The sequence below is a fragment of the Homo sapiens genome, chromosome 10 (assembly GCF_000001405.40).
Source record: "Homo sapiens chromosome 10, GRCh38.p14 Primary Assembly".
In the NCBI taxonomy this organism is placed as follows: domain Eukaryota; kingdom Metazoa; phylum Chordata; class Mammalia; order Primates; family Hominidae; genus Homo; species Homo sapiens.
Genome location: NC_000010.11, coordinates 120,475,363 through 120,490,285, shown reverse-complemented (window position 1 = coordinate 120,490,285; position 14,923 = coordinate 120,475,363). Strand labels below are relative to the sequence as shown.

The 14,923-nt window shown below is 45.7% G+C and overlaps 1 protein-coding gene across 11 annotated transcripts in view; it reads right to left on the bottom strand.

Moving 5' to 3' along the window:
• PLPP4 (phospholipid phosphatase 4) overlaps positions 1 to 14,923 on the bottom strand; it is a 135,112-nt gene that overhangs the window by 101,780 nt on the left and 18,409 nt on the right. The window contains exon 2 of one of the 11 annotated variants that reach the window (XM_011539444.4): positions 1,135 to 1,215. The exons of 9 other annotated variants lie outside the window; for them this stretch is intronic. In XM_011539444.4, coding sequence (XP_011537746.1) covers positions 1,135 to 1,184 — 50 coding nt within the window. In that variant the 5' untranslated portion in view covers positions 1,185 to 1,215. Of the gene's footprint in view, positions 1 to 1,075; positions 1,216 to 14,923 lie in introns of those variants that run through there. One more of the 11 variants, XM_047424709.1, reaches the window with a different exon arrangement.

Below are 14,923 nucleotides of genomic sequence, written 5' to 3'. Positions count from 1 at the left end.
GCATCTCAAGCACGTGGCCTATAGAACTGGTCTTGACTTTGGACAGCTGGAGACATCCCCAAGGTGGGGTCTCTGTCCCCACCAGTGGCCATCACCTGAGTCAAGGACCAGGAATGGTTGCCTGTTTGGTACAACCGGACTTTATGACTGAGGTTGAGCTGCTCACTTTAAGTCTCCCTAAGAAGAGGAGAGGGAATAACCAGGTCATCATCATCATTACTACTGCAAAGATTCAGTGGCCTCAGGCAGAATGGAGGGGTCACAGCAGAACACCAGCTCCACAAGGGCAGCAGGCATTCTTGTCTGCTTGTGGTCTGAGCTGTATCCCCAGCACTTAGAATAGTGCCTGGCATGCAGTAGGTGCTCAATAAATATTTGTTGAATCAATGACTGAACAAATAAATCCATGTCAGCTGTTCCAATGAAGACCCAAGCCTCTGCCACCTGGAATCTTTAATCGGAAGCTGGCAGCTGGCAACCTGAACTAATTGCAGCCTGCTGCATATTTGGTTTGAGCTGCTCCATGTTAAAATTTTTTTTTTTAAATGTAACTCATGGCCAATATTTTAAAAACAGGAGCTCTTACATTAACATCTGAATTTCTGGCTTCTGATGAAGCATTTGATCTGGCAACCTTGAGTCTGCATCTCCCCACGGCAGCACTCAGTCCAAAAAACTAAGAAGCAGCTGCCCACTTTGGACAAGGCAAATGCCCACCCCAAGGTCTTCCCCATCCAGACCGCCACACCCATGTGTTGGTGGCCCACTCCTACCGCAGTTGTGCAGTGTGACACTGTGTTCACACCACCTCTCATGGCTGCTCAAACTGGCTGCTAGCTCGTCTGGGGAGTAGCGGGTATTTAACGGTCACCAGGGCCCCTTGGTCCCACTCTCTGAAGTCTGCTCCCCTGTGAACAAATGCATGTCTATTCTCAGGGAGCCTGGACTTTGCTGGGTACTCATTCGCCAAGTGGTTCATTAAGACGAACTGGTCCACAGCATCTGTGTGGTCAATGTGTCCCTGTCCACCACCGCTATCACCACCAATTCTCCAACGAAAGATCAACTTGCAAACCTTGCGTTCTTCATCATCTATCCCAACTGATGGAGCTATATCAGCCCTGCTGCACTCACTGAGAATTGGATTTGATATATGACAGCTGCCTGAACCGCTCCTTATTCATGCAGTAAATGAGACGTCATCTTCAGAGGCACCTGGAGGGACAAAAGGAAGTAGGGAGGGAGGGAAGGATCAGCTGATCAATTTACTGAGTGCTTCTTACCTGCCAAGAAGCTGCTAGACACTTCTTACATCTTATCTCAAACCTTACAAGTGAAAAGTAGGCACTGTTATCTCCAATTTCCAGAGAGGGAAGCTGAGTCTCAAAGAGGTTTCTTGCCCTGCCCAAAGTCATTCAGCTAACAAGCATCAAAACTGGAACTTAAACTTCTAACCATAATCCTGGGCTATTTCCATTATGACTATTTTTGAAAATGTGGGGCAAGAGCACACTGAGGTGAGGGTGGGACAATGGGTGGGCTGAAGACAACAGCTTGACTCGGTATGTGGTGGGAGGACCCAGAGCCTGCCCAAGTAGTGTGGGATACAAGCTGGAGCTAGTTAGCAGCATGTTGGACTAGAGATCAAAAGAGCTAACTAGCAGTGACTTGACCACTGATTACTTTACAACTGTAGGAGCCTCTTGCCCTTCAATGTTGCTACTTCCTTGTTGGTAAAATGGAAATCCATCCACCTACTTTTCTTTCATGCACTTGCAGTATGGCAAGATAGTTAAATGAAAAGCACGAATTCTGAAATATCCTTCCTAGGGTTTGACCTTGGCCAATCACTTTACTTCTGTGTGCCTCAGTTCCCTCATCTGTAAAAGGCTTATTTTAAATGCAATGACTGGCATATAGTAAGCAGGTTTAATAAATGTTAGCTTTCAGTCATCATTCATTCATTCACTCACTCATTCATTCAGCACATATTGACATTCCACCCACATGGCAGAACTGTTTTAAGGCTTCAAATAAGATAATAAATGTGAAAATGCTTTATAAACCACTCAAGGGGGGCTGGCATTGACTCTGGGCTCCTGACACTGCCCTTCTGTTCTTTGATCACTCTCCCTGATCATTCTTTTCCCCAAGCTCCTCTTCCCTCCATCCAGGCCCTTCCTGAATAATGTCACCCCACAAGGCCATCTTGGGACATGGTCCTTCTCCAGTGGGGACCACATCTGCTCCCAGAGAGCCCCTGACTTCTGGAGCCTTTTCTCATCATGGTCTCCATCCCTTAGTTCCCCTGCCCTCTCCTGTCTTGGATTTCCAGGTGCCTCTGGGTTGAGAGCTTTGGGTTTCCTGCTGGCATGGGAAACAGTCAAGGACCAGGTAAAAAGTAGCCACCAACTCTGGAAGCCAGGACATTCACGTTCTATCCTTGGCTTAGCTGCTAAAGCAATCTGAGTAAATCATTTACAGTTCTCTCTCTTTCTGTGTTCCTCATTTTTCTCACTAAGGAACTGGACTGGATGACTTTAGAGTTTTTTTCTGTCCAAATGCTATGAATCTCCCCTCCCAAACAATGGAGAAGCCAAAAGTTTCAGCACCCCTTCTACATTCCAGGTGCTGAATTATACACTTAACATACATTATTTCATTCACACTTACCATGACCCTATAAGGTTATCTTGTCTATTAAAAAACTGATTTAAAGGTCAAGTAATATTGATAAAAGGAAGCTAATAGTAAGCTGAGAAATAAATCAAATGTTGCTTCTCTGACTTAAATGATTTCCCAAAGTCCTTTAACTTGTGATTTTGTAAGTGACATCAACATGTCTTAAAATGAATCAGTTCTCTGTGCAATTGACAATGTTACCAATCAGAACGATCCCGCTTTAAAATACCAAAGGTTCACCTAAATCACTACACACCACATCAGCGGAAGAGTTGCCTTCCCATCTCAATGTGTAATAGCTTTGTTTAAAAGCGTAACAATAAAACTCCCTGTTCTCACCGAAATACAAAAATCCAAAGCAGAAGAGTTACTCTCACCACGCTCAATCTGTTGGCAGATCTGCTAGACTTATAAGGGAGACTTCTCTGGAACCTGCAGTTGTGATTGTAAGGTCTTAATTGGCTTTTGAGATTTCGCACAGCACAGCAAGTGTGGATAACAAGTTTGGGAAAAAGTGTAATCAAGTTAGTTTAGTTTATCCACTATCATCTGCCCCATCTTCCTCCTCGTTATCTCATTCTGCAATTACTTGCATGGAAAATGTTTCTGTAATGGAGACAGTGAAGGAGAAGGCAGCAAACCCCTTCTGAATCCCACAATAAGCAAGGGCTCATGTCTGTCCATACACCTGGGACCCCTGCAGGAGGCAGCCCGGGTGGGCTGACCTTAAGGCAGGCAAAGTAGATAAGAGGTAAAAGCCCAGGGAGCCTCTGCTCCAAGGCTAACAAGCTCGTCACACCATTCCCTTGGAAGCTCACTGTTACCAGTCCCCAAGAGAGGACTTGTGCCTGTCTGGTCAAGGAGTGGACACCACTGACCAATGCCACATACATTCCAAAGGAAGCCAATAAGCAATGGCAAAAACGTCTGTCGATGTTCCTTACTGGCTCTGACACCTGAAACCACATTCTCCTCCCTATATCAGTAGTAATTTAAAACAATAATATAACGTGTAACAGCTGGCATTTATGTGTCACACGCAGTTCTGAGCACTTTAAATGTATTCCATGTCTTTTCAACCTCACAACCACTATGAATGATGTACTAGTATTAAGCCCATTTTACAGCTGGTCAAACTGAGGCTTTCAGGGACCACACAGTATTAGTGCAGCCAAATTTCAGAGCCACACCTGAGTGACTCCAGAGCCCATGTTCATACTAGCTAATTGGTATTGCCTCATCTAGGGGACAGTAGACATGGAGGCGGAGGCAGGGCGAGTCCATGTCTCCCATCAAAAGCAGATCTTTCAAAGGAGCATTTGAGGAGGAAAAAAAAAAAAACTTAAATGAAATGGGAGGAAAGCCTCTCACAGATGGAGGTTGACGGGGCTGCCCGAATTTAAGACTATTGGCAACACTAGTAAGATAGAGGGTGGGCGTGAAAAATCCACAGAAGCAGGCCCTGGCCTCAACCCGGACACCAAGTGTGACATTACATGACTGTGAGGTTGGCATCTGTGTTTCTAAACCTCGGTTTCTCCATTTATAAGATGAGAGGGCTGCTTGGCTGGTTTTCAAGCAGCATCCTTTACAGAGTTTTAGGGTTTGGGAGCTTCTAACTTGAGACCAGAGCAGACCAAGAATATCGTGCAGCAGTTGGTGTCCCCACCGGCTGCTTACTAGGCTCCATCGTTGAGCTTTTAAAAATATCACTGTCCCTGCCTCACCCTAGGCCAACTAATACAAATCTCAGGGCAGCCAGGGTGGGGCAGGCCCACTGTGCAGTCACCTTACAAGGAGAGATGGGCAAGCAGCAACTCAGGAGGTGAACAGCTCACATCGCTGTATTCTTTTTGCTTTTCTTGTTCTTTTCTTTTATTTCAATTTTCTTTTTGATTTTTGTCTTTACCTCATTTATTTCCCTAATGAATGAATCAATAATGGTCCTTTTGTAAAAATATGGCAAGAAATTCACAGTATCCAGCATCAAAAACCATGTGCATGTTTTGAGTTCCACTTATGAACCCTTCTACTTAACAGGAATTCCCCTTCTGAAGGAGGTGCTATTTGGTGTGAGTTAAGCCAGCAGGCAGTGTTCTCTCTGTACCACTTGCCCTCACTTTAGGCTGGCCTGGGCTGGAAGTAGGTCTGTAGGCCTTGGAGGCCACTCCTAGTGGGCCACATCAAGACTAGGGTTTGGGTATGGAAAAGAGAGACAAAGGGGTCCCCTCCAGTCCTAATGCAGAGGCTCAGCTCCTGAGCAGGTGAAAAGAGTTTAGCAAATGTTTATTGAGCTTAAAGCCTGTGCCAGGCACTTGGACCCAGAGTGAATAAGGCACAGTCCCTGCCTTCAGGGAGCTCTAGGGGGAAGGCACAGGTTTAGAAACAGATGGTATAAGTTTCCTACTGCAGCTGTAACAAATGACTACAAACATAGTGGCTTTAAGTAACACAAGTTCTGGAAGTCAAAAGTCTGATGCAGATCTCCCTGGGCTAAAGGCAAAGTGCTAGCAAAGCTGCATTCCTTTCTGGAAGCTCTAGAATAGAATCTACTTCCTTGCCTTTTCCAGCATCTAGAGGCTGCCCTCATTCCTTGCTTTGTGGTCCCTTCATCTTCAAAGCTAGCAATGGCAGGTTGAGTCCTGTACACATTGCATCTCTCTGACCTCCTCTTCTGCCTCTTCTTTTCCACTTTTAAGGACTCATGTGATTACACTGGGCCCACCAGCTAATCCAGAATAATCTCTCCATCTCAGGGTCATCTGAATAGAACCTTAATTACATTTGTAACCTTAATTCCCTTGGCCATGTAAGGTTATACGTTCACAGGCTCCAGGAATGAGGATGTGGACATCCCTGGGGGAACATTATTCTTCCATTTTTATGGTTCGAATGTGTCCCCCAAAGTTCATGTGTTGGTCCCCAATGCAACAGTATTAAGAGGTGATCCCCAATGCAACAAACTTGATCCCTAATGCAGCATATTAAGACATGGGAACTTTAAGAGGTAATTAGGCCATAAGGGCTTTGCCCCGTTGAATGAATTAATGCCATTATTGCAGGAATGGGTTCCTTATAAAAGCACAAATTCACCCCCCTTTTGCCCTCTCTCACCTTCTCTTGCCCTCTCACCTTCTGCCATGGGATGGTGCAGCAGGAAGGCCCTCACCAGATGCTGGCACCTCGATCTTGGACTTCCTAATCTCCAGAAACATGCACCAATACATTTCTGTTTATTATGAATTATCCAATTTCAGGTATTCTGTTATAGCAGCATAAAACAGACTAAGACAGCCATACACTGACCATTTATGGTGATTGACTATTTGCAATGATATACTGTTAGGTAAAAGGGAAGAATATAGCAGATCCTGTGCTCTCCCTTTTGCTAATATTGTTATTGTTTATAGAACATGCACATATGCATAGAAAAAAAGAGACAAAAAGAAAATCCCCAAAATGTTAACAATGGTAACATCTGCTCACTTACTAGCACATCACATTTGAAATTTCCTGTAGCACTTATACAGATACTTGCTCATTGCTGGTCATCTCCACCAGCCTGGAAGCTCCATGACTGCAGAGCCCTCATTTGTCTCTCTCTCCCTCTGTCTTAGTCCATTTTGTGTTGCTATAGAGAAATACCTGAGACTGGGTAATTTATAAAGATAAAAGGTTTATTTTGCTCAGAATTCTAATGGCTGGAATGTTTAAGATTGGGCATCTGCATCTGCTGAGGGCCTCAGGCTGCTTAACTCCTGGCAGAAGGCCCGGGGAGCTCCACGTGCAGAGATCACATGGCCAGAAAAAAAGTAAGAGACAGTGGGGAGGGGTCAGGCTCTTTTTAACAACTAGCTGTCATGGGAATTAATAGAGTGAGAACTCACCCCATCCCCAAGGAGGGCACTGATCTACTCTTAAGGGATCCAATCCCTTGACCCAAACACCTTCCATTAGGCTCTGCCTCCAACATCGGTGATCAAATTTCAACATGAAGTTTGGAGGAGTCAAATATTCAAATCACAGAATCTTCTATTCCAGGGCCCCATCACTGCAGGGATTCAAGGCCCATGGTGGTGACCACAGTGGAATGCCCAAAGACTCAGTGTATGCCTGGGACATTCTAAGTGCTTTACACTCATTAACTTCATTAATTCACTCAGTCCTCACAAGACCCCTAAGAGAATGTATTAATCAGGGTTCTCTAGAGGAACAGAACTAATAGGATAGACGTATATATGAATGGGGAGTTTATTCAGGAGAACTGACTCATACCATCACAAGGTAAAGGCCCATGATAGGCTGTCTGCAAGCTGAGGAGCAAGGAAGCCAGTGGTGGATCAGCAGGAGTCTCAAAACCTCAAAAGTAAGGAAGCCGAGAGGCAGCCTTCAGTCTGTGGCCAAATGTCTGAGAGCCCCTGGCAAACCACTGGTGTAAGTCCAAGAGGCCAAAATCTGAAGAACTTGCAGTCTGATGTTCGAGGGCAGGCAGCATTCAGCATGGGAGAAAGATGAAGGCTGAAAGACTCATCAAGTCAAGTCCTTCCACTTTCTTCTGTCTGCTTTATTCTAGCCACACTAGCAGCTGATTAGATGATGCCCACCCAGATTGAGGGTGGGTCTGCCCTTCCCAGTCCACTGACTCAAATGCTAATCTTCTTTGGCAACACCCTCACAGACACACCCAGGAATAATACAGAGTCTCACTCTGTCACCCAGGCTGGAGTGCAGTGGTGCGATCTCGGCTCACAGCAAGCTCCGCCTTCCAGATTCACACCATTCTCCTGCCTCAGCCTCCCAAGTAGCTGGGACTACAGGCACCCGCCACCATGCCTGGCTAAGTTTTTTTTTTTTTGTATTTTCAGTAGAGACAGGGTTTCACCCTGTTCGCCAGGATGGTCTCGATCTCCTGACCTCGTGATCTGCCCGCCTCAGCCTCCCAAAATGCTGGGATTACAGGTGTGAGCCACTGCGCCTGGCGACAGGATTTTTCTTTTCAATTGCATTGTCAGGCTGCAAATTTTCCAAACTTTCATGCTCTGCTTCCCTTATAGAACTGAATGCCTTTAACAGCACCCAAGTCACCTCTTGAATGTTTTGCTGCTTAGGAATTTCTTCCACCATGTACTCTAAAATCATCTCCTTCAAGTTCTAAGTTCCACAAATCTCTAGGGCAGGGGCAAAATGCCTCCAGTCTCTTTGCTAAAATATAACAAGAGTCATCTTTGCTCCAGTTCCCCACAAGTTTCTCATCTCCATCTGAGACCACCTCAGCCTGAATTTTATTGTCAATATCATTATCAGCATTTTGGTCAAAACGATACAACAAGACTCTAGGGAGTTCCAAACTTTCCCACATTTTCCTGTCTTCTTCTGAGCCCTCCAAACTGTTCCAACCTCTGCCTGTTACCCAGTTCCAAAGTCGCTTCCACATTTTTGGGTGTCTTTTCAGCAGCACCTCACTCTGCTGGTACCAATTTACTGTATTAGTCCGTTTTCACACTGCTGACAAAGACAAACCCAAGAAAAATTTACAAAAGAAAGAAGTTGTATGGGCTTACAGTTCCACGTGGCTGGGAAGGCCTCACAATCATGGTGGAAGGCAAGGAGAAGCAAGTCATGTCTTACATGGATGGTAGCAGGCAAAGAGAGAGCTTGTGTGGGAAACCCCCCCTTATAGAACCATCAGATCTTGTGAGACTTATTCACTATCATGAGAAGGGCAGAAGAAAGACCTGCCCCCATGATTCAATTACCTCCCACTGGGTCTCTCCCACAACACATGGGAATTCAAGATGAGATTTGGGTGGGGACACAGTCAAACCGTATCAGTTGCTAAATGGCAGCACAGTAGAATCTCAGCATCAGATGCCCTCAGAGTGGGATCAAGCTTCAGTTATCAGCTCCTTACTGGCCATAAAACTTTGATCATGGTCTTTGTTTCCTTGTCTGCTCCACTGAGGTCACAGAGCACCAGACACCTTTCAGGGAGGCTGTAAGGACCCAGTTGTATAAAGCACCTGATGCCCAGGGAACTTCCAGGAAGAGTTAGCTGTTGATATTGTGGTTGCCATTATCATTATCTTTCAACTCTTCCACTTCCAATTTAAAAATCCTCTCCACAATTCAACATTTGCAGTGAATGGACAACTCCTACCAAGCAAGCAGTACATAGATGGTTGGAGCTACAATGGTTTTAAACCCTTTCCATTCTAGGAACTGAGTTATCCCTTCTCCCTGATGTCCCCTGGGCTGCCCTGAAGCCCCTCAAAATAGTCCACACCCTCCATCCATGACAGCCTGCACATGGTACAGTCCTCACCACATCCTTTTGTATTCTGGTTAGGTATCTGCAGTTCCACCATGTGCTTTCCATAGCACAAGGGCTAGAAAGCTGCCACTCCTGGATGGCCTACAGGGGTACAAGATCCAACAGTGTGGGACCCAGACTCCACCCCATGCTCCAGGAATGTATGCCACCAACCAAAGTGTCCACTGGGATCTGTTTGTGCCAGTCACTGTGTCATAGCTCAGGGTGGAGCGTCTCACAGGCAGACACAGGCCCTGCCCACCAGGAGTCCTTAATCCAAAGGGAAGATGTACAATCAGACAGACACTGGTCACATGGTTTGGTGAGCACCCTAATGGGGAAGAAGGGGTACTGTTAGAGTGCTTGGAAGAAGAGCCTAACTTGCTGTGCCTTGAGACTTAGGGAAAGCTCCTCAGATAAAGTAGAGCCCAACTTGGGCCTGAAAATCAAATGGGTTGGGTGAGGGAGCAGAGGACAGTGGGGAAAGTGTTGTTGTAGCAAGAAAGGAAAGACAAGGGGGCAGGAGCAGTGTTGGGGGCAGATTAGCACCCTTTAGGTCTGGATGCCTTACTGCTGTTAATAGTATAGAAGGAAGAATTACTTTTAAAAATAAACATTTAGGAAACCCAGGACCTTACTAATTCCACAAACTGCCTTCAAGCCAGTCCTCTCCCGTCATTGGTGGCTGCTGCCAGCTCTGCTGAAGTGAGCTGCCGACTGCATGTGTAATCCTGTTAGGATTTACCTTGTTAGTTTCAGATGCATCCTCTCTGTCAAGATTTTTATGAATCCTGATTCTATTATTCAATATATTAGCTTTCCATCTCGGTCTTCTGTCATTCGCAAATTTGATAAGGCTGGCTTCTATGTCTTTATCCAAGTTGCTGATCAAAACCTTGGACAAAGGAGGTCAGATTCAGGGTCCTGAGGCATGGCCCTGGACAGCCTCCCCAGCCTGCACCAGATGCACATCCACAGCCAATAATCCTTGGATGCACTCCTTATTCAACCTGTAACTACTGGATTAGTCAGAAGATGTTCTGCTATTGTACTCAAGGGGGCAACACACTCAGTAACAAGAATGGTAAAACCTCATGCACCAGGTACTCAACCGTCAAAACTGTCCCTCTCTAAGAACCAGCCAGTAATCAAAAAGGTCTAGGCAGGTAGAAACCTCCAGCACCTGAACCCTGCAGCTGTCCAGACACTCAGGCTAAACCTAAATATTAAATAAGAGTGATCTTACTTTACATACAATTTTAACAAGGTGACTATCTCCTTTCAAGGCCTTATCGGATTATCAGCTGCAAATCAGAAACAGAAACTAACTTGCTTTAGAGAGCATACCATCCATAGCCTTTCAATAATAGAGAAAACATTTTAAACTATAAGAAACAAACCAAAATAATTACAACCTCCAGTTATTTCATGGAAAAGGACCTCATACCTCATCAGAACAAGAAGGAATTACATGACTACCTGAGGGCCATCTGTCACCATTTCATCTCCAGCCATCGGTTAAATTAAATTTGGCAGCATTTGTTTTAGAATGAAGGCAACGATTTTTATTAAAAAATGCATGATAATATGAGTATCATTAATGGTGTGGGTAAACATTCATTCATCCAGCAAACACTTCCTGCACACCATGGTGAGCCAGATCCTGGGGAATGGTGGGAAGGCAGTGCAGGACAGCAATGATCCCGACAGGCAAGGTCTCTGCACCCACAGAACATACAGCCTGCTGAGCAGAGGCAGATGATAAACAGGGACACCAATAAATAACGGACAGCATCATTTCAGATCGCAATAAATGCCATAAGAAAAACAAAACAGAGGAATGTGATAATGTGACAGAGAAGGGTGTGGAACATGGGACAGATGCTCAGTGATAGTTTTTCTAGCAAGGAACATTTGAGCAGGTCCCATGAGGACACCGGCCAGATCAGGCACTGCTGGGAGGAATGTAAATCAGAAAATTATTTCTGGAGGACGATTTGGCAAAACTGGTGGCAGTAGGGGGGATGGGAAGGTTTTTTTTTGGTTTGTTTTTGTTTTGTTTTGTTTTGAGATGGAGTCTCGCTCTGTGGCCCAGGCTGGAGTGCACTGGCACAGTCTCGGCTCACTGCAAGCTCTACCTCCCGGGTTCACGCCATTCTCCTGCCTCAGCCTCCCAAGTAGCTGGGACTACAGGCGCCCACCACCATGCCCGGCTAATTTTTTGTATTTTTAGTAGAGATGGGGTTTCACCATGTTAGCCAGGATGGTCTCGATCTCCTGACCTCATGATCTGCCCACCTTGGCCTCCCAAAGTGCTGGGATTACAGGCGTGAGCCACTGCGCCCAGCCAGTTTTTTGACTCAGAATTTCCTTATCCAGGAATTAAGCCTAAGAACATACAGAGGTATGCACAGCAATGAATGTTCCAGGTTGTTCATCATGGTGTTAACTACATCAACTAAAAACTGGGTGTCCAACACCAGCAGACTGGCTGTATTAAATTATTTGCTTTCATTTAATGGAGTGTGTTGCAGCTTTTTAAAAAACAAGTCAAGAAAGAATATTTGGCATAGGAAAATGCTGAAGGCATAAAACCAAGGGAAAAAGGCAGGCTACAAAATGTTATTCCAGATGAGACATACCTCTTGTGTAAAGAAAGTATGCATTATCATGGGAGCAGGCTTAAGACTAAAAGACCACCCACAAGAATGTTAACTGTGGTTTTCTCTGGGTAGTAGGATCATAAATAATCTTATTTTCTATCCATTTTCTCTGTGTATCATATAAGTTTCCTACATCAAGCCTATGCTTGTTTCATAATTTTACCAAATAGTTGACTTAAAAGAAAAAGAAAAAATTCCAGCAAAGATAAGTTGTTTAAAAGCTGTGGTTTTGGAAGAGGTGAGCTTCAGCTATGAGGGTAAAGCAGGCACCCTGAACACCTCCCTTCCTGGAAGATGTGCCAAGTATCTGGGCCTGGAAGCTGCACCTGGGGAAACAGGCCAGACTCCACCAAGGACCCCTCACAAGAAGGTGGGACAGTCAGCCCTAGGCATGGGTCACTATGAGAAATGAAAACGTGGAAAACCTTGGTATGTGTCCTGACATTTAGCCAAATGAGCACAAACCCACACAAGCCCACTGTCACCTTTGCCATCTCCCTCCTTGGTCCAACCCTGCACAGCCTCTAAGTGGCAAAGGGCAATGCGGGAGGGCCAGGGGCCACCCATTCCAGGGATCTGGTGGGGTGGCAGACCCAAAGGACATCTCAGTGAAACTCCTGACCCCTTCCTTGTTGTGTGTCTTCCTGGAGAAGAAACTTGTCCTTGAGTGACTCATGCCCTCCTCAACTTGTCCTCTAAGATTCTCTGCATGTCGGCCAGACAAGCCATGGCCCCTGTCTGCTGTACTCAGGCCCAGGAGATTCCCATGGGGACAGCCCGTTCCTCCAGTAGGCAGAAGTGTGATCTGAAATCCCCTCACTGCAGTCAATTCATTCACTTGGTATTTCCTGAGTATCTACTATGTGCCAGGCATATATCAGGGGTGACAGAGACAAGGTGAACACAATAGCCAAGGCCCCTCCTCCCAAGGGGCTCACTGTAGAGAGGGGCAAATGCTTTCCTAGCTCAAGGCCACGCCAGGAAATGACACCCAGACTTCTTTCTCTCTGACACTGATTCTTATATAGAACCTGACTCTGTTCAATATGGCATCAGACCCAGCTCAGTCCAGACCAAGAGCTGCTTTCTGATTTCCCATCAGAGGCAAGAGTTTGTGATTTCCAGCTCAGCGAGCAGAAAAATGGGAGGTGATTTTCAAAGCATCTTGCTCAGAAACAAACAAACAAAAAAACTGACGATGGGAACACTTCTTTCTGGAGCACAACTTTCACAAAGTTCTTTTCTTCTGTTTTTTTTTTTTTTTAACTTGAAATAATTACAATTATTCGACATACCTTTAGATTCTCTGAGAAGGAAAAAGAAAAGCCTCAGGCAGTAATTCCAAATGCTGACATAGCAGTAGAGAAGGTTTTTTTTCTTTTCTTTTTGAACCGTTCTGGATTAATTCAAAGCAGGCAGCTCACATTCTTGAGAGGAAAATGAAGACCATGATTCACTCTTTCGGCATAAAGTACACAGATAATTAATCAAGCTTCGTCCGAGCCTCTTGATGTTTTTTACATTGGTTATTCTAAGGCAGACACTGTTTTCCAACAAGTCTGCTGACATCCAGGGAGAGACTGGATTTAAGAAAGAAGCCAAGATTATGGCGAACTAAGATAATTCTTATAAACAAGTGGCTCTCACAGGCAAGACAAGGTCAGGGTGACAAGAAGACCATTGGGAGAGGGAACAGAAAAACACAGTGCTCTAAAGACAGGGGCAAGAAGAAGGGTAAGGAAAGCTTTAGCCAAGCACCTATGAAGGCAATGTAAGGGCTTACATTTGTGGTGTTCTCCCTGCGTGCCAGGTACTACTCTGCTAGCATTTGTGCCCTGAGAACCCCATCCAGTAGGCACTATTTCTACTATCCTCTTCAGATTAGTAAACTGAGGGAGGAGAGATTAGAGTAATACAAGTAGAGGTAGAGGCAGCATTTAGTCCCACACATTCTGGCTCCTGATGCTCGGATCATCACCACTAGACTGGATTGCATCTGAGTGTGGGTTTGTTATGACCCGCAGTGGGCGGGCCAGTATGTGGGAAGCTGGGGACAAAGTATCACCCCACCCAACTGCAGCAACAGAGCAATGGGAACAAGGAAGTTGAAAGTCAGCCTGGACTCTAATTCCATCTGTGCCACCTGTTGGCAAATGACTATGGGCAAATGACTTCCTTCCCCGAGCATCAGTTTCGCCATTTATAAAGTGAGAAAAATGACAGCATCTACATCATGGTGGTGTTGTAAGGTTTAGATGAGATAATTGCACATACAGCATAAAAACGTTACCTGGCACAGAGTAAGCACTCAACAACAACAACAAAAAAAAGAGAAGAAGCAGTTGTTATAACTTATGGAAAAGAGTCCAAAGAGCTGGCCCTGGGGCTGGAGAGCTGGAGGCAAGGCCTGCACAGGGGGCACAGCTGGCCCCAGGCAAAACGTGTCCCTGATGTCCTCCACTCCCTTTTTGCTCTTAGCTCTGAGAGCCACCATTCTTCCCACCCAAGTCCCAGCTCCACTGCAGCCCAGATCTCCAAGGCCCCTGCTGTCCATGTGGACAGTGGTGATGCAGGCACATGCCATTATTCGTCTCCATGTTCCCTGGGCCTGGCACAGTGCCTGGCACAGTAGGACCCAATCAATGCATGTCCGAGCCTGCAGGAGTGGAGGAATGGAAGTGATTTCAGACATTATCTTAAGTGAGATTAGTGGACACTGGTGCCCCCCGCCCACATCATGCCAGGATAACAACCTGGAACAAAGAAGGTGAGTGTTACCATCTGCAGATATTTTTCCCAAAGTGCAGCTATTCCCATTGTGACATGTGGTGCCCTCTGGGTTTTCAAGCTGGTCTTCATAGAAAAAACACCTCCAGGAACACCCACCCCTGAACTTCAGGTTCCATCCCTTTTCCCGATACTTAGAATAAAATCTACAGGAAACCTCAGGCCAGGGAGACCATTGCAGGAGAATACACCGCCCAAAGGCCGGGCTCACTCATCATCTCGTGTTGTTCTCTGGACCTGTGAACATGTCTGTCTCATGCATCCCACAGAAGTATGATAAATACACAGAAGGGAACTGCCAGGACTTCCTTTAGAGCAAGAGTTTGTTGTAATGAAGAGCAGCTCTCCCAAGTAGCTGCCCCACAAAGCCTGTCTAGAAACATAGCTGCATTCATATAACCCCCAATGAATGGGAAAAGGACAAGGCCAAATGTGCAGAACCCACCCATTATTACGAAGGGAGGAAGTTCCATGCTAACGC